General features: G+C 45.0%; 1 long non-coding RNA gene across 1 annotated transcript in view; it reads right to left on the bottom strand.

The window, feature by feature from the left end:
* LOC107986849 (uncharacterized) overlaps positions 1–17,085 on the bottom strand; it is a 37,873-nt gene extending 20,788 nt beyond the window's left edge. Inside the window, exon 1 of the long non-coding RNA XR_001745363.2 lies at positions 16,867–17,085. This is a non-coding gene — a long non-coding RNA (uncharacterized LOC107986849). The remainder of the gene's footprint in view (positions 1–16,866) is intronic.
* Between the last annotated feature and the right edge of the window lie 3,246 nt (positions 17,086–20,331).

The following is a 20,331-nucleotide window of genomic DNA, read 5'->3' as shown; positions in this document are numbered from 1 at the left end:
ACTCTGTTCTCTCTCCTGAAAGTTTGATTTGAAGAAAAAAAAAATGAGAAGAACCATTTTACTTAGTGGTTCTCTCATTTCAATAGCTCCATCTCCTGGTCCCTCTATCTCTGTCCCTGCCCCACCAAACACCATGTCAACAAACATTAATTCAAAGTAAATTAGGTTTTTTAAAATAGCAAGACATCTGCATATAATGTTGTTTTATCATTACAATCAGGCAAATTGTTTTAAAGCAAATGCAAAATTATTTCAGGAGGACTTTATGCCACATAAGACAAACAGGGCTGGGCAGGCCCCAGGCAGGCTGGCTGCACCCTGCACCTCGTCCATCCAGCAGGGCTACTAGAAGCAGGAAGGGACTCTGGAAGCTGCACCGTTGCTTGGTGTTCATTGAGTTCATAGCCCTGTGACCCTGACTCTGTGTGAGGTAATTCCCAGCTCTTAGAATCCAGCCTGTAGCTGGTAGAATCCATCTATGCCCTTCTCGAGACACAAATCTCCACCCAAGAGGAAGGTATTTACCCATGGGAGGCACTGGCCTGCTCCTGAATCCTGGGGAGCAGGTATCTCTCTTCATTCTGCCCCAGATTACGCTTTTGAAAATCCAAAGGCAGTTCTCAGAGTCAATCACATAGACAGAAGGGGAAAGGCCATGCCTTCACCTGTAAGTGCCACCTGATAAATGTCTTCTTCATTGTAGCCCCCCAGGAAAAAAGAGTTACTATTCCCTCACAAAGAGGCATCTTTCTTAAATCATATAATGAGATTTATGCAATCCATTTGATTCCCCTTTTTTGCCTTAGGTGCCAGACACCTCAACACTCAAGTATTCCATTGCAGTCACTAACGGAGCTCAGATTTTTAGTGTTATTATCTCTGCTCATTCTTCTATAGGGTTCTGAGCTTTTGTTTTGCCTTATTGAATGCATGCCATTTAAAGGATATCAGGCTCAGAGTTAACATTAACTGTGCATTTCAGCAGGAATGGAAAGGACCTTATAATGTTTTAAGGAGCTGGAACTGGCCCAAATTCATTAATGAACTGAACCATAGACCAATATTCCTAACAGGGGGTCTCATGGTGGTAGAACCATTCCAAAAGGGAGGTGAGAGGAGAACTCTAATACTATTTATTGAGTGCCTACTCTGCCTCATTCTCCTTAAATATCTTATTTCATGTAATTTTCACAAAAACCCTGTGAGATTGGTTGAATCCTTCCCTACAACCCTCAGTTGCCTCATTTGTAATCTGGAAACAGGTTTCCTATTCAAGTTCTCATAATTAGTTAGTGGGGCTGAGATTAGACACAAGATATGCCTGACTTCAGAGCATATGTCGGGCCACTGCTAGCTTATATAGCACTTTAGTGTAAACCCAAGAAAGGTGCCCCTGAGGGAGGACACAGTCTTACAGTGATGGGGACACTGCCTTCACATAAATAGTACCTACGCTATAGAGAGGGCATTCTTCTTCATTCTCAGAAACAGCCCTTAGAGAGGCAGAAACTGCTAATTATCATCAAGACTTTTGTTCTCTTTTTCTTTCTGGGCCACAACCCTGGGCCATATTTTCCAGTCCCTGAGCTTCTAGGTGGGACCATGTGACCACTCCTGTTGAATGGAAAGAGGGCAAGCATTATATATGTCACTCCCAGGCTGCGCACAGTGGCTCACGTCTGTAATCCTAGAACTTTGGGAGGCAAGGTGGGTGGGTCACCTGAGGTGAGGGGTTCAAGAACAGCCTGGCCAACATGGTGAAACCCCATCTCCACTAAAGTTACAAAAAATTAGTGTGGTGGTAGGCGCCTGTAATCCCAGCTACTCAGGAGGCTGAGGCAGGAGAATCACTTGAGCCTGGGAGACAGAGGTTGTAGTGAGCTGAGATCACACCACTGTGCTCCAGCCTGGGCAACAGAGTGAGACTCCAACTCAAAAAATAATAATAATAATTTTTAAAAATATGTCACTCCCAGCTTGGCCTGTGAACTCCTAGGCAATTCTCCACTCTCTCTCTTTCCCCATCCACTGGCTGAGCAGAAAACTTTGAGGACTGGAAGAGGATGGAATCATGAATTGGAAGGTCTCTTGAGTTACTGAATGACCTTGTGGAGCAGAGCCCATTCCACCTGTTTCAAACTGGACTATGATATAAGTGAGAAATATAATTGTATTGCGTTTCAGCCTCTGATTTTTCAGGGTTTTATGGTGCTTGATTTGCCCTAATGCAAGCCCAAACCATCTTGCTTCCTTTTAACAAGCTTGCCTAAAAAGATTCAAGTGACCGCTGGCTAAAAGCAATTGAAAAGGTTCTCACCCAAGAGAACAGAGACAGTGGGGAGACTGTTTCATTTCCTTATTCCTCTAAATAAAATTCTCCATAAATCAGCTCCATATAAACTTGTATTGTTTATATCTGTTACTCCAAGCCCAACTTTCCAGAACATTTCAAGTTAACTCATCTTTCATTGAGAGTTTCAGTCATACGTATGAGTCACAGAACTGTGGAGTATTAAAGCTGAAAGGCACCTCTGTGATAATTCTTGCAAATTTTGAAGATAAGAAAAATAAGGCCAAGATGTATGGCTTCCCTGGGGTCCCAGAGTCAAGGCTGGCATCCAAGGCTCATGACTCTAGGTCCAGGGTTCTTTGCTCTCCCCGAATGGATGGAAGCCATGCTCAAGCAGCTGAACACTGTGAACGGACACAGCTCTGCCTGTAAACGCTTCCTCAGAAAGAAGTGAGGGTGTTCACATTGAGGCTGTTCTATGGGTGGAGGCTGCTGGCACCCTCTACTGGACGGACTGGGTATGTCCTCTGCTGTCCAGTCAGGTCCAAATTGCTCAACTCTAAGTCAAAGTGATGAAGCTATGGCAACCCTCTCTCCAGGTGTCCATGGCCACCATCAGTGCCTGTGTTAAAGCCTCTCTGAGATTGTGAGCTAGTCCCAGGCACATCCCCGTGTTTTCCAGCTGATGGATCATGCTTCCTGAACAAATGTAATGTCACTTCAGTCAGGGACTCTGGAGTCTACTTTCTCACACTAAGAGCGGGGAGCACAGCTTCCCAAATCACAGCAGCCCCTCTTCCTTCCTCTGGTTCACTGATGCTTTGAAAATAAAGAATGTTCCCTCTGAGGTCCCATCTCCTTTTTAAAAAGAAATTCAGTTTCCAGTTCTAGATGAAATTAGCATTTGTCCTCTCTAATTGTGTTTGCAGCTGCATCCCAATAGGAAAGAAAGGAAACCAAGAGAAAAAGGGATAATAAAAGCCTCCTTCTAAATGAGGCTGGAGTGGAAAATGAGGAGCAGGACCAAGAGGCCAGTGGGCTTGTTCCAGCCTCTCTGCATGCTGCTTTGAACAAAAGCTTGCCAGGGAGGGAGTATGGTCTGGCAGTGGCCAGCTCACTGAACAGGGAAGCAGAGAGCAATTGTAATTCCACTCTCTATTCAAAAGGCAATTTTCTCCAACACGTCCTGACACTGAGCCTCTATTTCCCCAGCTCTATAAAGCAAACGACAGAAAAACCATGGAATAAATGTCAGAAGTTACATTTCATCTCACCAGTTCACTTTCCAGAGGAGCAAACCCAGGCCCAGAGAGGGACAGGATTTGCCTAAAGTCACCCAGCTAATATGTGGCAGACGCCATCTGGTCTTCATTGCTCAGCCCCAAGCTCAACCCTGCCTCCTTTCCTTGCACAAGAAATGCCAAGAGGCAATGATCCCAGAAAGGGCTCGGAGTGAGGTTGTGAGTATTTCTTCCCCAGACACCTTTAAACAAAATAGCCCTCTACCAGCCTGGGTGCAGTCCTGTCTGTAAACAGAGGAACAGAATAAGAAACAAGGTTTTAGGAATCAGGGGTTTCGGTGTGCACCGAACATGGGCTAAGGAGCTGATGCTGGATGTTTTGGAAGAGCCTGGGGCTATGCATCAGGAGACGCTGTATTCTCAACTCAACTCTGCCATGGATAATGATCCTGACCTACCTGCTTCAGAAGATTATCATGATTTTCATAAAATAATATAATCCAAATTTTATTTTACTTCATTTTATTTGTAGAGAGGGAATCCTTGAGTGAATCTCATCCAGTTTCTTTGCTAGATTTTGGAACCACTTTAGAAGGCCAGAACTCAGAGACGTTAAATGGCATGAACTTCAGAACTCTACTCCTTAAGCCAATGCAACCTTTGCATTGCTTTCTCCAGATACTGGGGCCCACGTAAGAAGCTGAAGCTCCACAAGCTCTCCAAGGGTTTCTCAACGCATAAAGGAGTCTCAGTGCTAGGCCAAAGAATTGGGGTCTGGGATGCTGCAGGGAACCAGTTATCCTTCCTTGCAGCTCTGTGATGTATTTGACCCAAAGCCTCCTCCCATGCTGATTTCAAATCTAAATAGCAGGCATTTAGTAAAAGTCCAAGCGGTCTCTCTAAAATCTACCATCAAGAATTATTCACAGACTTCTTGCTTTGAAACCACCGTGGGAATGTTTTGCAGATTCCAAGGCTTTACACCACACTCACTGAATCAAATCTTCAGATGTGAGCTCCAGGAAATAGATCCACATTTATCCATCCTGAACTAATAGCTCCTTATGCATTTAAAATTAAATAAAACAAAATCTAAACACCTGAGCACCACCTGCAGGGCCCCATGGGAGCTCCTACCCTCAGCTCTTACCACTGCAGACACACTGGCCTGCTTGTGTTCCTCATGACAAGCTCATTCCTGCCTTGGGGCCTTTGCACTTATTTTCTCATCTTCCTGAAGCAATTCTCTTCCTGATATTTCCATAACTGGTTCCTCTTCATTATTTATAGAAGTGTTTGTTCAAGTGCCATCCTCTTAATTACTTAGGTCCCATGCAGTGCCTTTGAAATGTCTGCCTTGACCATCCTATCTAATACTACACCTCATCCGCCAAGTCTTTTTCTACCCGAAGAGCATCTTTGAAGATAGGACCTTTGTTTTGTTCTCTTCCACATGCCCAGAAACTATAGTAATATCTAATAAGACATAGGTACTGAATAAATATTTGCCGAATGACTAAATCAACGACATTGCCCTGTTTTGATCTAAGATTCTCTTCTTTATCTGTTTACTGTTAACTTGCATATTACCTAAGTCTCCCATAAGAATGACAGTTCCCTGAGAGCAGAGTCCTCCTCTATCATGTACCCACCATATCCTCAGTGCCTCCAATAGTATCTGACCCATAATATGTGTTCAATAAATAGTTGTTGAATGAATGGTTGGATGAACTAATGCATGAGAATCCTTGAGCTGGGACCTCCATTTGGGCTGGGGACAAGGTGACTGTCTCAATTAACAAACATATTTCTAGTCAGTGTTCAAGAAGTAGAGATAATTTTTTAAAGTCTTAAAACATGTACCTTTCCCCCAAATTGCCCACAAATCCATGAGGGGAAACAGAGGTATGAACGAAACCATTGCAAGTGCCTCAATATGGTATGTATTAGTCCGTTTTCACACTGCTGTAAAGAATGCAACCTAAGACTGGGGTAATTTACAAAGAAGGGTTTAATTGACTCACAGTTCCACATGACTGGGGAAGCCTCAGGAAACTTACAATCATGGCAGAAAGTGCAGGGAAAGCAAGGCACATCTTACATGGTGGCAGACAAGAGAGAGTGCAGGAAAAACTGCCACTTTTAAACCATCAGATCTCATGAGAACTCCATCACTATCACAAGCACAGTATGGGGGAAACCACCATCAGGCTGCAAATTTTCCAAACTTTTATGCTCTGCTTCCCCTTTAAATATAAGTTCCAATCTCAAACCATTTCTTGGTGAGCACTATAATTGAATGCCTTCAGAATCAACCAGGTCACCTCTTGAATGCCTTGCTGCTTAGAAATTTCTTCTGCCAGATACCCTAAATCATCTCTCTCAGGTTCAAAGTCCAACAGACTTCCAGGGTAGGGGCAAAATGATGCCAGCCGGTTTGCTAAAGCATAGCAATAGTGACCTTTGCTCCAGTTTCCAATAAGTACCTCATCTCCATCTGAGACCACCTCAACCTGGACTTCATTATCCTATCACTGTCAGCATTTTGGTCAAAACCATTCAACAAGTCTCTAGAAAGTTCCAAACTTTTCCACATCTTCCTGTCTTCTTCTGAGCCCTCCAAAGTGTTCCAACCTCTGCCCATTACCCAGTTCCAAAGTCACTTCCACATTTTCAGGTTATCCTTATAGCACTACCCCACTGTTCCTGTACCAATTCTCTGTATAAGTCCATTTTCAGACTGCTATTAAAAAATACCACCTGAGCCTGGGTAATTTGTAAAGAAAGGAGATTTAATTGACTCACAGTTCCACATGGCTGGGGAGGTCTCAGGAAACTTACAGTTGTGGCAGAAGATGAAGGGGAAGCAAGGCACATCTTACATGGCAGCAGGCAAGAGAGGGCACAGGAAAAACTGCCACTTTTAAAACCATCAGATCTCATGAGAACTCCCTCACTATTACCAGAACAGCATGGGGGAACCCGACCCCATGATCCAATAACCTCCCACCAGGTCCCTCCTTCAGTATGTGGGGATTACAATTCGACATGAGATTTGGGTAGGGACACAGAGCCAAACCATATCATGGTGTAAACAAGATGTTTTAGAGCACAAAGCAAGAGGCCACCTCTAATCCAGACAACCAGGAAGTCTTCAGGGAAGATGTGATGTTTGAATCAAGCCTTAAAGAAGGAAGTAAAATGGGAGAGTGGAGAAGTGGAAAAAGATGTTCAAAGAAGAAACAGCTTGAAGGCTGATGGCATGTTGAGGAAAGAGCTGGTGGTGGGGAGTGTGGGGACCAGGTAACACTGAGAAGCTAAATTTCAATCAATAGGCCAATGGTTCCCCAACTGTTCAAGTGGGAATAATCTCTCCCCCTTTTAAAGGCTCTTTATAAATAAGTTGTATGAAAATCAAATACTCATTCACACAGAATGAATAAACCTTTGAAGTCAAAAAAATATAAAGCCCATACTTTTACCCCAGAAACATGAAACAAAGGTCAGCAGCCACAATTTTAAAAGGAAATAATTTCTCTATGTTTCAGTGGCCATCATTTGATCATAAGTATATTTTAATTTGATTGATTAGAAAGCATATGTAAAAAGTATAAGTATACTGAGAACAGCAGGAGGCAGCCAAACTCCTAAGTAGATAGGGGCCTAGGTGAAACCCCACCTTCAAGCCAAAAAAACAGCATGAAGTCTGAAAGACTGGACTGCTGGTCCCAGATGAAACCCAAGACTCAGAGTGAGAACTTCTGTTCCATTTGCCTGCCCCTCCCCTATTCTGAGCCCATAAAATCCCCAGTCTCAGTCACACGGGGGGGACTTTCCCACCTTCAGGTAGGGGGACCACCCCTGTGTCCCCTCTCTGCTAAAAGCTGTTTCATCACTCAACAAAACTTTGCACATTGCTCACTGTTTGACTGTCAGTGCATCCTCATTCTTCTTGAGTGTGGGACAAGAACTTGGGAACCAATGCACAAGCCAGACTCGGCCGTAGTGGACGGGCTATCTCCTGCAACAGGTAGCCTGGTTGAGCAAGACCTGGATGGGGCGTCGCTGGCTGGAGGTCCTTGGCTTGCAAAGTGACCAAGAAAATCCTGTGTCAATACTATATACAAAAGGCTTTCTAAAAAATTAATAGGCTATTTCTGAGGGAAGCAGTTTTAGGTTTACAGAAAAAAAATAAGTGGAAAGTACAGAGAGTTTCCATAGATCCCTCCCACCTGCCTTCCTTGGGTTCCCTATTTTTAACATCTTGCATTAGTGCGGTACATTTATACAATAGATGAGCCAATACTGATAAATTATTATAAACCAAAGTCTGTGGTTTACATTAGGGTTCACTCTTTGTGTTGTATAGTCTATGGGTTTTGAAATGTACATTGAATGCATCTACCATTACAGTATCATGCAGAATAATTGTTTTACTGCCCTAAAGATCCTCTGTGTTATTTCTATTCATTCTTCCCTTCCTCCCCCTACCACAAAAAAAAGCTTTTTAAACCATTATTTTGTATTCTATTGATGACAACAGCATTTACCTACATTGAAAAACAACGTGCATAATTTGCTGATCATGTGTGTGAGACTGTATGTGAGACATGGGTTCCTGAGCCCCAGTTCTGGGGAGTCCTCTACAGATTGGGAGCCACTGCTAAAGGTAATAAGGAGCCATAGAAGAATGTTGGGTAGAAGCTTACTAGGATGGGATTGGGGTCTGGGAAGTTAAACAGCAGCCTTGCAGACAGGAAAGATGAGATAGAGGGATCCATGAGGAGGCCATGTCACTTCTGGGTTCTCCAAGATGTGTCGTCACCTCTGCACATGTAAGAGACATGATTTTATGAACAGAGGCACTAGTTTTGTCCCCTTTGTCTCTTCACACCCACCCCAGTGCTGAAAAACAACAAACAAACAATGATGCCCCATAGATAAAGTGGAACCAAACCACAATTTCATGCTGATTTTCAACCATGGCGTCCTGACCATCAGAACAGGAGAAACTCTGAAATGAATTGCATGCAGTGCTGCAGGCAGGGCTCTATGCTTTTCCAAACAACTAACATATTGGTGAACGTCCTAGACTTTTTCCTATGTGTATTCAGATCACACTGCCATGTATCACTTTTTTCACTCTCTATATTATTAACATTACTATGTCATAAAATATTTTTCTAAAAACATGATTTTTAGCTGTCACATAATATTCCACTTGAGGAATGTCCCATCATTTACCATCCTCCCACTGATGGACACTTGGAGAGTCTCCAATATTTCACTGTTATAAATAGCACTGGGATGCACATCCTTGTACATAAATCTCTGCACATCTCTGATGATTTCTTTGGGACAGATTCTTAGAAGTGTGATTGCTAGAATGTTTGCCATTTTGATGGATTTTCCATCTCAGAGTTCCATCCTCCCTGGTGTCCTGATGGCAAAAGATAAATATTTATGAAGGAAGGCATGTGAAAAAAAAAAAAGGAGCATTACCTGAGCGCTGGCAAACAAATCACAATGGAATAGAGACACAATTCCCAAGGGTTAATCTGGGTGATGGGCAATGCTATTTATTTATTTACAGCACTTACCTGACTCCCTCTATCTAAAAGGGACTGACCAAGAACAAAAAGAACTAAAAGTATCACATGAAAAATGTCAGCGGGGGTAAGGAAGGAGAGGTTGCCAATAGTACAGTGACTTGGCTGTCTCAGACCCAAGAAGAATGAAAACAGGAAGAGCAAGGGAACTTTGCAGTGTCAGTTTCCCCTTCTTCTAGGGTTGCCAGAAAGTATACAAGTTGCCCAGTTCAATTTGAACTTCCCCCCCAAAAAAAAAAAAGAATAATTTTTTAGTATAATTATGTCCTATGCAATATTTGGGACATGCTTATCCTAAAAAATACATTGCTAATTTGAAATTCTAAACTAGCGGGTATGCTGGATTTTTATTTGCAACCCTACTTGCTGCACAATTATACACACCCCTAATTGCTGCGTAATTATCACTGCACAATTTAATTGGCAACCCCACTTGCTGCACAATTATTGTAGACTAGCTATTATGAGAAGGTCAGCAGCCACAAAGGTGGGGGAGGGTGTGAATGAGAATTGAGGTGGCACATAACTTGGTACCCTGCAAACTGAGAGCAATAGTTAAAGGAGCAGGGGCTGCAGCTTCTTACCAATGAGGGGGTTTATTTGGGGGAATCTCAGTCCAAGGATTCCCACCCAGGAGAAAGCAACAGAGCTATCCGGAGATACGGAGGTGGCTCTGACTGCAGTCTGCATGGGGCCTGGGGTTCTGGGTGTGTGCCAGGATCACTGGGCCAGGAGCCAGAGAGGACATGCACAACTCCAGTAAGGGAAGGCTGTTTCCACTGCAATCTTTCCAGGTGGAATGTGAGCAGGCAGCTGAAGACAGGCTGGTGCCGCAGACCTGGAAAATGGTTCTCTCCCTGACCTCACTTTTGTCAACAAACTGCTTTGCTTTATGTAAAGGAGGGAGAAAAAAAGAAGGCTCGCTCTCATTACACACACACACACACACACACACACACACACACACACAGAGCACCTTCCACAGGTCGTGCCTCAGCAGTCCCTCGAACAATATGTCCTAAATTAATAGCATCAGGAGATAATGGTTTATAAAACAGGAGTTTGTATGCAACCAGGGGAAATGTTCGGCTCCTTATTATATAGCTATATATTTTTTGCAACCAGATTATGAGCAAACAAGGTTAAATGCAAATGCACACGCACACACACACACACGCAGATAAATAAGCTTCCATTTTCTGCTCCCTCAGATGCCCTCCTTTCGTTTTGTTTGGGCTATCACACATGCTTCCACTTTTCTGCTTGTCTGATGTTCCTGCTCTCTGTATTTCTCCCCTCATTATTTTCTTTTCCTTTATTTCTTTCTATTTCTCTGCTTTCTTGGTTTTCTTATTATTCATTCTTTGTCTTTCTCTTTGAGGCAGAAAAAGTAAATTTCAAACCATAAAATGTTAGGACTGGAAGTTATCTCAGATATCTAGATGGATGTCCTCATTTTGCAGACAAACCGAGGCCCATGAAAGTAAAGAGACAGGCTGGGCACAGTGGCTCATGCCTGTAATCCCAGCATTTTGGGAAGCCAGGTTGGCAGGTCAACTTGAGGTCAGGAGTTCGAGACCAGCCTGGCCAACATGATGAAGCCCCACCTGTATTAAAAATATAAAAATTAGCCAGATGTGATGGTGGGCTCCTGTAATCCCAGCTACTCAGGAGGCTGAAGCAAGAGAATTACTTGAACCCAGGAGGTAGAGATTTCAGTGAGCCGAGATCAGACTACTGAACTCCAGCCTGGGTGACAGAGCAAAACTCTGTCTCAAAAAAAAAAAAAGAAAGAACGTAAAGAGACTTTGCCAGGGTAACACCACAGTTTCTAGCACTTAGGTCTTGGGGACGATCTCCTCTCTCCAAGTTCAGTTCACTTTACACTGTCTCAAGCTTCTCGTAGGGTGTGATGCCCTTAGATTGGTGGAGTAACCTTCTGATGTGGGGTGAATTAAGTCCCCCAAAGAGATATGCCAACATCCTAGCCACTACCACCTCCATACCTGTGAAGGTGGCCTTATTTAGAAATACGATTTTAGCAGATGTAATCAAGTCAGGTCATACTAGAGTAGGGTGGGCCCTAAGATGAGGTCATACTGGAGTGGTGTGGGCCCTTACATCCAATGACTGGTGTCTTTATAAGAAGGCCCCGTGGGCCGGGCATGGTGGCTTATGCCTGTAATTCCTGCACTTTGGGAGGGCAAGGCGGGTGGATCACCTGAGGTTAGGAGTTCAAGACCAGCCTAGCCAGCATGGTGAGACCCCGTCTCTACTAAAAATACAAAAATTAGCCAGGCATGCTGACGGGCACCTGTAATCCCAGCTACTCAGGAGGCTGAGGCAGGAGAATCGCTTGAATCCGTGAGATAGAAGTTGCAGTGAGCTGAGATCTTGCCATTGTACTCCAGCCTGGACAACAAGAATGAAACTTCGTCTCAAAAAAAAAAAAGGCCCCATGAAGATACAGGGACACAGAGACGTGGAAGAAGAATACCATGTGACAAGGGAGGCAGAGATTGGACTGACACAGCTACAAGCCAAAGGACACCAAGGAGTGCCAGCAGCCACCAGAAGCCAGCAGCCACCAGAAGCCAGAAGGGGGACAAGGAATAGATTCTGCCCCAGGGCATCCTGCAGGAACCGAACTTTCTGAAACCTTGATGCTGGATGTCTGCCCTCCAGAACTACAACAGAATAAATTTCTGCTGTTTTAAGCACCCAGGTTGTGGTACATTATGAAGGCAGCCACAAGAAACCAGTAGGCCTTCTCAGGCTGGCACAACTACAGGCACTGACACGGATACTACAGTGCAGGCGTGCAGACGGAGGGCCCAAGCTCTCTCCTCTCCTCCACGCTGCCTTGATCCCCTGGAGAAAGGTACCTAATGAACATCTCGCATGGCCAAGAGCTTGGGCCTGGTGTTGCTGGGATACGAAGCAGTGCAAGACACAGTCCCTGCCTTCAAGATATTTCTGTAAGACTAAAACAAGGAAGGCCATCCTAAGAGATGGCTGCAGGTGTTCCAAGAAGGGGCCAGGCTGCCACTGCCCAAAATCACATGATTCCTCAAACTGAAGCTCTATCCAGAGTAAACAGGGCAACCCCGTACTTGCTGAATGGGGATCCCCCTGAGACCCAGCTTTGAGGGGAAGCGGACTCTCCAGGGATGCAGGCTCTGTTCCTGGTAGCCACCTCTTGGACATTCCTGAGAGCCAGCAGTTGCCCGAGCACTGGAAACCGGGTGTGTTCAAAGGCCTGTGGCCTGTCCTGCCATACACCCGTGCTTGAGGAACCTGAACACTTGTCCCAGAGCTGGCCTTTGTCTGACACAGTCCCTCTGGCACTTGACCCTGAGCAAGTGAAGAAGGGTGTGGAGGGACTTGGGGAGCAGTGAGGGCAATCTCCACCTTTCCCCTTGTCCCTGAGCTGGCTGAGTGCCCCTCCTTGAGCCTGAACACCCCAGCTCTGCACTTCCGCCCAGCCTCTGAGCTCTGCAGAACTATCGACTCCCACTCGGAGCTACAGCATGGAGCCTGCCAGGCCAGGCCAGAACCAGTGGCTCCCGAAGACCCAGAGAGAGCTTTCCTTCCTATAAGGTGTGAGAGGATCTACTCTGTTCCAGAACACAGTGGAAGACAGGGGGCAGGCCAGGAGCACTGGGGCCGTCTTCCATTTGGACTCCTAGTAAGTTGCCTGTTCTTGGACCCCAGAAAATTAAAATGTCCTTTATATTGATAACAGGGGCAATAATCTGCCTTAGGTCTTGAATCTAAGGCAAAATCGAGTCAGTGCAGCTCTCCCGGCAGATGCTGGTCTGTCTTGCTGATAATGAAGGAAGCAGAAGGGGATCAGAGGGGAAAACCAGGTTGGTCTGTGTAGTCAGAGGATTTACAAGGGAAGCGGGGCTGGAATTAAAATTAAATATTAGAAAGTGGAGAAATCACATGTGAAAAGACTGGCCTGAAAGCAATTCAGGAATTGATGAAGCTAGAGAGAGAGAGAGAGGGAGAGCGCGCACGAGAGAGAATGACAGCTGGGTGGGCTGCTGAGTACATTATTAGTCTGAAATCAGATTATAGCTTTCCCTCCTGAATTAATTCTGGGGACAGTACATGGGGAGGGGGTAGGGGCTGCTGATAGCAGTGGGTTTTCCTTGAGCATTTATTTTTTATTCTACTTTCTTTTAGTTTAGTTCTTGAGTTGGGGCTTTTCTGGATAGGGAGGGACGTTGGTGAGTGATTAAGAGTTAAAGGGAAATAGCAGGAGGAAGGATGAATAAAAGGAATCCTCTGTGTGCAACTCAAGAGAAAGTCCAGGATCAGATTAGGTTGTTTTTGCCCCATTTCTTGAATTAAAAGATCAAAAACAGGAATGTCTTTTTCTTTTTATCCAGAAAATGGGGTATGCAAAAGAATGGTCTCTTCCCACAGTTTTAGTTTACACAGGGCGTGTCCCTCCCAACCAGTCCCATGGGTGTCTCTCGGTTCCTTAGTTTGGGAGTAGGATCTCCTTGAGATCCTCAAAGTGAGGTTTGAATATACCACATCATTGCTATTTTAAGGCAGACCATCCCAACCATGTCCCCCAATTCGGTGAAAATTCATCTACCTGTTTTCACATGATGTAGAGGAAAAAAAAAAACAGAAGTAATTGTATTTATATGTGTAAAACTTGTCCCATAGCCAAGCAATTCTGTCAGAAACCCATCCCTTTCGCACACTGAGCTTCCCAGTGACCTCATCGCTTTCACCCCTGGAGGTCTGCTCCCTTCTGGTTGGCGGCTACTCCCGCAGAACATGGGGGCTCTCTTGCCCAGTGTGTTTCTCTGTGTTCAGTCAGGCTGGATCCTTGACTCTTCCTCATACAGCGTTTTCCAAATCTGTGCCATCCTGGTCAGCTACAGTTTGCCTATTTCCCCTTTAAAATACGGTCCCTATAACATAACCAGAAACTGATTTTCCTCCCTTCATCTTTCTTTCCTCCAATCCATTCTCTACACTGCCACCAGAGCAATTATTACAAAATACACACCCCACCCAGTTACCCACTGCTGGGCAAAATGCTTCAGCAGCTCCCACTGCCTACAAGAAAAATACTCCCGCTTCCTAGCATCTTCCAGAGCCCCCTCTTTCCTCTGACTACTCCAATAGCCTAACCAGGGTCCTGGATCCATTATTACCCAGCCACTCCATAATCCATTCTCTACAGCAGGATTTATCATCTTCTCAAATTGTATCCCTAAGGCCCAGCATTTTGAGAGGCTGAGGTAAGAGAATCACTTGAGCCCAGGAGTTTAAGACCAGCCTGGGCAACACAGCAAGACTCCATTTCTACAAAAAAAAAAAAAAAATTAAAAGTTAGCCAGGCATGGAGGAATGCACTTGTAGTCCTAGCTACTTGGGAGGCTGAAGTGGGAAGATTGCTTGAGCCAGGGAACTCAAGGCTGCAATGAGCTTTGATCTCACCACTGTACTCCAGCCGGGTTGATGGAGTGAGGCCCTGTCTCTAAAAAAAATAAAAATAAAAACAAAAACAAAGTATTGGCCAGGTGCAGTGGCTCATGCCTGTAATCCCAGCATTTTGGGAGGCCGAGGCAGGCAGATCACAAGATCAAGAGATCGAGACCATCCAGTCCAACATGGTGAAATCCCCACTAAAAATACAAAAAATAGCCAGATGCGGTGGTGCGCGCCTGTAATCCCAGCTACTTGGGAGGCTGAGACAGGAGAATCGCTTGAACCCAGGAGGCAAAGGTTGCAGTGAGCCAAGAACACACCAATGCACTCCAGCGTGGTGACAGAGTGAGACTGTGTCTCAAAACAAAACAAAACAAACAAAAAACACAAAGTATTACCCCTATTTACACCTCATTAATGAATCTCCATTGCGCTTGGACTAAAACCCAAATTCCTCCCTAAACCCAAAGAGGTCCTGCATGATGTGGCCTGTACCTGCCTCTCCAACATCTCCAACACGCCTCCCCACCCACACCCCAATTTCAGCCCTTATTTCAGTTCACCTTCTTTCCTGCGGCACACTCTTCTCTCATGCTGTTCCCTCTGCCTGGAATGCGCTTCCCTCCATCCTTACATGGCCAGTTCCTTCTCATTACTCCTGTGTCAACTGGATGTCACCTCCTCAGAGACGCCTTCCTTGACAACCATATGAAAATAGCATCCTCCCTCACCACACATACGTAATTTTAAATTACAGCACTGGATCAAATTTGTAACTTGAGGGTTGGCTTCTTTCTTGTCTATTTATCGTCTGACCCTCTTATTGGAATGTGACCTCCACAAACCAGAAACCATGAGAGTTTGTTCATCAGTTTATACCCAGTATCTCGTCTCATAATCTGTGCATAGAAAATGCTCAAGAAAATATTTGTTGAATGAATGAAGGTCTCAAATATCAAATACCCTCATGTCCCATCTTCCTGCTGTTCCTACTCACTCCCTAAAATCCAGGTCAAGAATCCAATACAAAGTCATCTCTGACCTGAAGAAACAGAGGTCGCCATTCCTTCCATGCAAGCAGGAAAGTATAACTGGATGCCTACTTGGTGCCACGCATGACAATAGGCACTGAGAACCTGGGAATAAATCAACACGCATCCCTGGACCTCAAGGATCCTGCAGCCTAGTGGATGTACCATGGGAATAAACTCCCTAGGATTTACCCTCTGCCTTAGGCTGCCTCGGGCCCTGCTGCTCTGTGATGTTTGCATTCACACAAAAGACCCCTCTCACTCAAAAAAAAAAAAAAAAAAACAAGCCCTCCCTGGAGAAAGCCCAGCTATTTATTGAGTGCCACCTGCCACATGGGTTAGTCCAGCCCCAGATTTTTCCTTTATGGCCAACCCCATTTCAACCACAGCTGATATCCCATCTGACCCTTCAGAACTGTTGAGAAATGAGGGGCAATAAATCTCCGTCCACTGGCCCAGCCTGGCTCCCTGCCACCGCCACTGCCTCTGCCTCCACACTTCAGAAGAAAGACTTTACAGGAGCCGCAGATGATGCTGAACTTCAATTAGGCCCTGCTGGCAAATTAGTCACGCAGGGTGACATTTTCCAATCATAGAACATTAGCATCCCCCCTAATTATGAAATTGTGGAGCTAACATGTTTGGGAGAAAATAAGACCAGTGTTCTCAGCATCACAAGTGTGTGTTTGCACACACACATGCACACACACACATGCACACACATGCGTGCACACACATGCACACACACATATGCACACACACATATGCACACGCATGCACACGGGGCCATGGGACACTGCCATTTACCTGTCCCCTAATACTGTTTAAAGTTAACTTTGCCTTTGCTTAGAAGGAGAGATGAAAACCACATGAAGGAAATCCTTAAATCTCAGAGACTATTTCTAAGAATTTCACAAAGAGAATTGCAGAAAACAATGGCTGAAATACTGAGGGCATTAAACCACACTGAGATTAAACTGTCTGCTCTTTAGATTCAGGCCTGGAAGCTAAAAGTGCTTACATGGGGAAGGAATGTAAGTTTGCCACGCTCTTACTCTGTGACTTTGTGGAACTCATGGAAACTGAGCTCTCCTCCCTCACCTAGAACTCATTCATTCAACAAAGACTTATTGAGTGTCTACTAGGTGCCAGGCACTGATGGAAGCACTCAGGATACATGGTGAACAAGGAACTCTAATGCATATGTGCACACGTGAACAATGGTCAATGCTTACATAGCTTGGAGAACATGAGGGTGTCAGGCAGCACAGCAGTGACGTTCATTACTCTGATGTTCACCAGGCAGGACTGCTTGATGCAGCTGCCTCTGGAGCTGTTCCTGCTTCAAAAGGCAGCTATTCCCAGGTCAAGGTCTACCTTTAGCCACTCTCGCTCAGTGGGATCTCCCATAGCTGAGTATCCAATACATTTTGGTCACTAGAAAGGAATGAAGGTTTAGAGAGTATAAACATTGTCTTAAGTATATAAATAAACAGATATAGGCATGTGTTTCCATATTAAAGGCAAGAGAAATAGAGGATAAGTGATTTAAACAAAGCTTATAGCAAAGTTATTATATATATTTGCATACATATACACATATATACACACACCTACAAATATGGATATATATGGGTGTCTTTTATTTATATATGTGGTATATTTATACATGTGTGTATGTGTGTGTGTATGTTTATATATCCACTTCCATATTCTGTTTATCTCAGGGGTTTCTTGAAGGAATAAATAAGTATGTAAATTCCCTACCAAAGGGTCTAGCACATAGTAGGCATCCAGAAAGCGTTAGCTATAATTGCTGTCTTTGCTTTATGACCGTCTGAATGTGATGACAAGCCAGGCTCCTCCACTCTGCACCATCTGGTACTGCATTTCTGAAGGCTACATCTGCACTTGCAGCTCTACTAACATTAAGCCTGCAGCTTCATCATAACACGGCTGCCTGATCCAGCCTGGAGATGCCACCTGCCTCCTTTACAGTAGGAGCCACCCTATCCTATCCTAGGGGTGCCTTAGCAGGGCAGGGACAGCCACCATCATCATGCCTGCAAGCCCAGCACTGTCCTCTGTCAAGCATGTAAAATACAGTTACTCATTTGTATTCCCTTTCTGCCATGTCCTCCTTCCTCCCATCTGATGTCACCTGTCTATGCACACTCAATCAGGGGACAGACGATGATCGAAGCTGGAGACCACCCAGGAGCTCAGCATGCCGGGAGGCTGGCTGGAGCTACGTGCAATCAATCTCTTGTCTGTCCACTCTCTATTGCTCCAAGCACACAGGCTCTGGTTAAGAGCCAGCAATAGGACTTCTAGTCCAGTGTTCTTTGACTTATCACTCTCTCCCCTTCTGAGCTATATCCCAGACAGAGCCCAGTCTCCTCCCCATGGCATGCTGCCAATCATGAAGACGTCACTGGAATGTCTCGTCTTTTTTTTTTTAATGCTGCTCCTTGTCGCCACAGATTGATCTGCCAGTTAAATATTTAGACATGCTCATCCGCCTTAGTTGTAAAACACTGCTTGACTTTGAGCAATGAGCAAGGAGGTACCGAGGCTGCAGCTATTCCCTGCCTGGGACACGGGGAGAGATGGAGGCAATGACAAGAAGAGCACTTCGCCCCCTGGGTCTGCGCATCTCTGCCAAAATCCAAGCAACTGAACTTGAGCAAGTTCAACACCTCACCTCCAGAGCTTGAGGGGGCTAATGGGGCAGCCAGTTCCTATCTTAAGTGGCCAAGGTCATCAGTTCTGCTCAATCACACCCACTGGCCTGGCTCAGTCAGTCCCATTCTGCCCCAGCCTTCCCAATTAGCAAATGGCCTTCCTGTCAGCTGGCTCATTTAATCCTCGCAGTATCCGTAGGAAAGCTAAAAGTGCTGGCAACATGGCATGACACCCATTATCTCACTTAATTGTCACAACAATCTCCCATGAAATGGGAATTCTTGTCCCAATTTACAAGTGAGAAGGCTGACAGTCACAGAGGTTAAGTGAATGGTCAGCCCAAGGTCACTCGGGAGGGAGTGACGGGTCTACTCCTAGAACTAGCTCGCCACCCATGTGAACTCAATGTGTTCTTCCCACCACACAGCCATAGGCAGTCACCAAATCGCCGTAGAAGGTCACCACCAAAGTAGACCCTCTGAATTCATTTGTTATCGCCTTGGCCAAAAATCCCCTTTATTCCTCTGTGAGTTCTGCAAAAGGTCAAGGTCCTTCCTGGGAAATATTGCTTGCTGCCTAATCATAGGAAGAGATATAAGGCCAAAGGAATGGAACACCTGAGCTCCCTGCCTGAACATCTGAACATCTAAACTATAAGGCATTTTCGGAGCCATGGCCATCAAAGCCTGGGGGCCCTGCTCCAGGCTGTCTGCAATAACATGAACTTCAGAATGTGGACCATAATTAGTAACTCTTCAAAGGCAGCCTAGAAGGGCCCTGGGTGACATAAGGGCAAGGTGGGCAAAGTGGGCCACAGAGAACAGTGTGATATGGAGGCTACCGGACACTCCCGAGCCCACAATGCCTCTAGCCCAGTGTTTGCTCTGACACTGAAAAAGGTTTGCAAAGAAACCCTCCTTTTCATTCTCTTGTTTCAAAAATAAGCAAGTTCTCAGTCATCTAAGCAGTTGGCAAGTGGGGAAGGGGTGGGAGGCTGGGGGGCTGGGGGGCAGGGTGTAGAGGCAGGGGCTGGAAGGTTAGAACTGTCCAACAGTCCGAGAAGCACAAGGCAAGTTCTGCTTGAGACCAAAGACTCCAGCAAGAGAAGCAACCACTACAGTGCCCAGCTTCTGCAGGGAACAGTCAGAGGAAAGCTAATGGTTATGGAATCTTACTCTCTCACTCTCCACTTGGAGAAATAGAGGCTTTGAGAGAATTTTAAATGCCTTCCAGAGGGTCACTCGGATTTCCTAAGTCCCAGCCAGCACTCACATTTTTCTCCGGAAAACCACCCCAGTGATTACCATCTTGGAGACACTCCAAAACTCCCCAAAGATACTAATATGAGTTCAAGAGTGAAGGTCACAGTCTTCAGTTATAGGAGTATTTGATCAAGGAAGAAAGTAAAGAAAAGGAGAATGGAAAATGCTAAGAAAAATAAAAATAAAAGATACTGGATGGGTCTAAAAGGATCTACTCTGTCATCTTACATGTTTCCGATATGTGCAGTGGTCTATATTCAGGCATTAGAATCTGCAATATTTGTCTCTAATGGCCATCCAGATTACATGTTTGTCGAAAATTATACATCCTTAAACTGAGTTTTTATTAAAATGGTGAAGCAATAAAGCCATAATATTTTATGATGACATCAGAGTGATACACCCAAAAGCAGCATTTTTTCTTCCTACATTAATGTCTCTCCCACCAACTTCTTCCTAAACCAGTCCCAAAGGAGCAGAATTGTACTTCCTCAGGATTCCCTCTTACTCATAGGTAAAGCCCCTCAAACTCTCCCCTCCTTATTGATCTTTGTCTGCTGAGAGAAAAAAGGAACTCTCTACTACCTCTCAGAAGTGGTGACCAGCTTTCACCAGTTTCAAAAATATACTCAGAATAACACTTACATGATCCACCAGATTGGGCCTGGATATTTAAGCCTCACCCTTCCAGAACAACTCAGTCACAGGGAGCTCACAAGAAATAGCAGCAAATTCCTTTCTCGTTGCATTCAT

Source organism: Homo sapiens, chromosome 7 (assembly GCF_000001405.40).
Source record: "Homo sapiens chromosome 7, GRCh38.p14 Primary Assembly".
NCBI classification, from domain to species: Eukaryota; Metazoa; Chordata; class Mammalia; order Primates; family Hominidae; genus Homo; species Homo sapiens.
The sequence above is the reverse complement of the archived record's forward strand: the minus strand, read 5'-3'. Positions and strand labels throughout refer to the sequence as shown.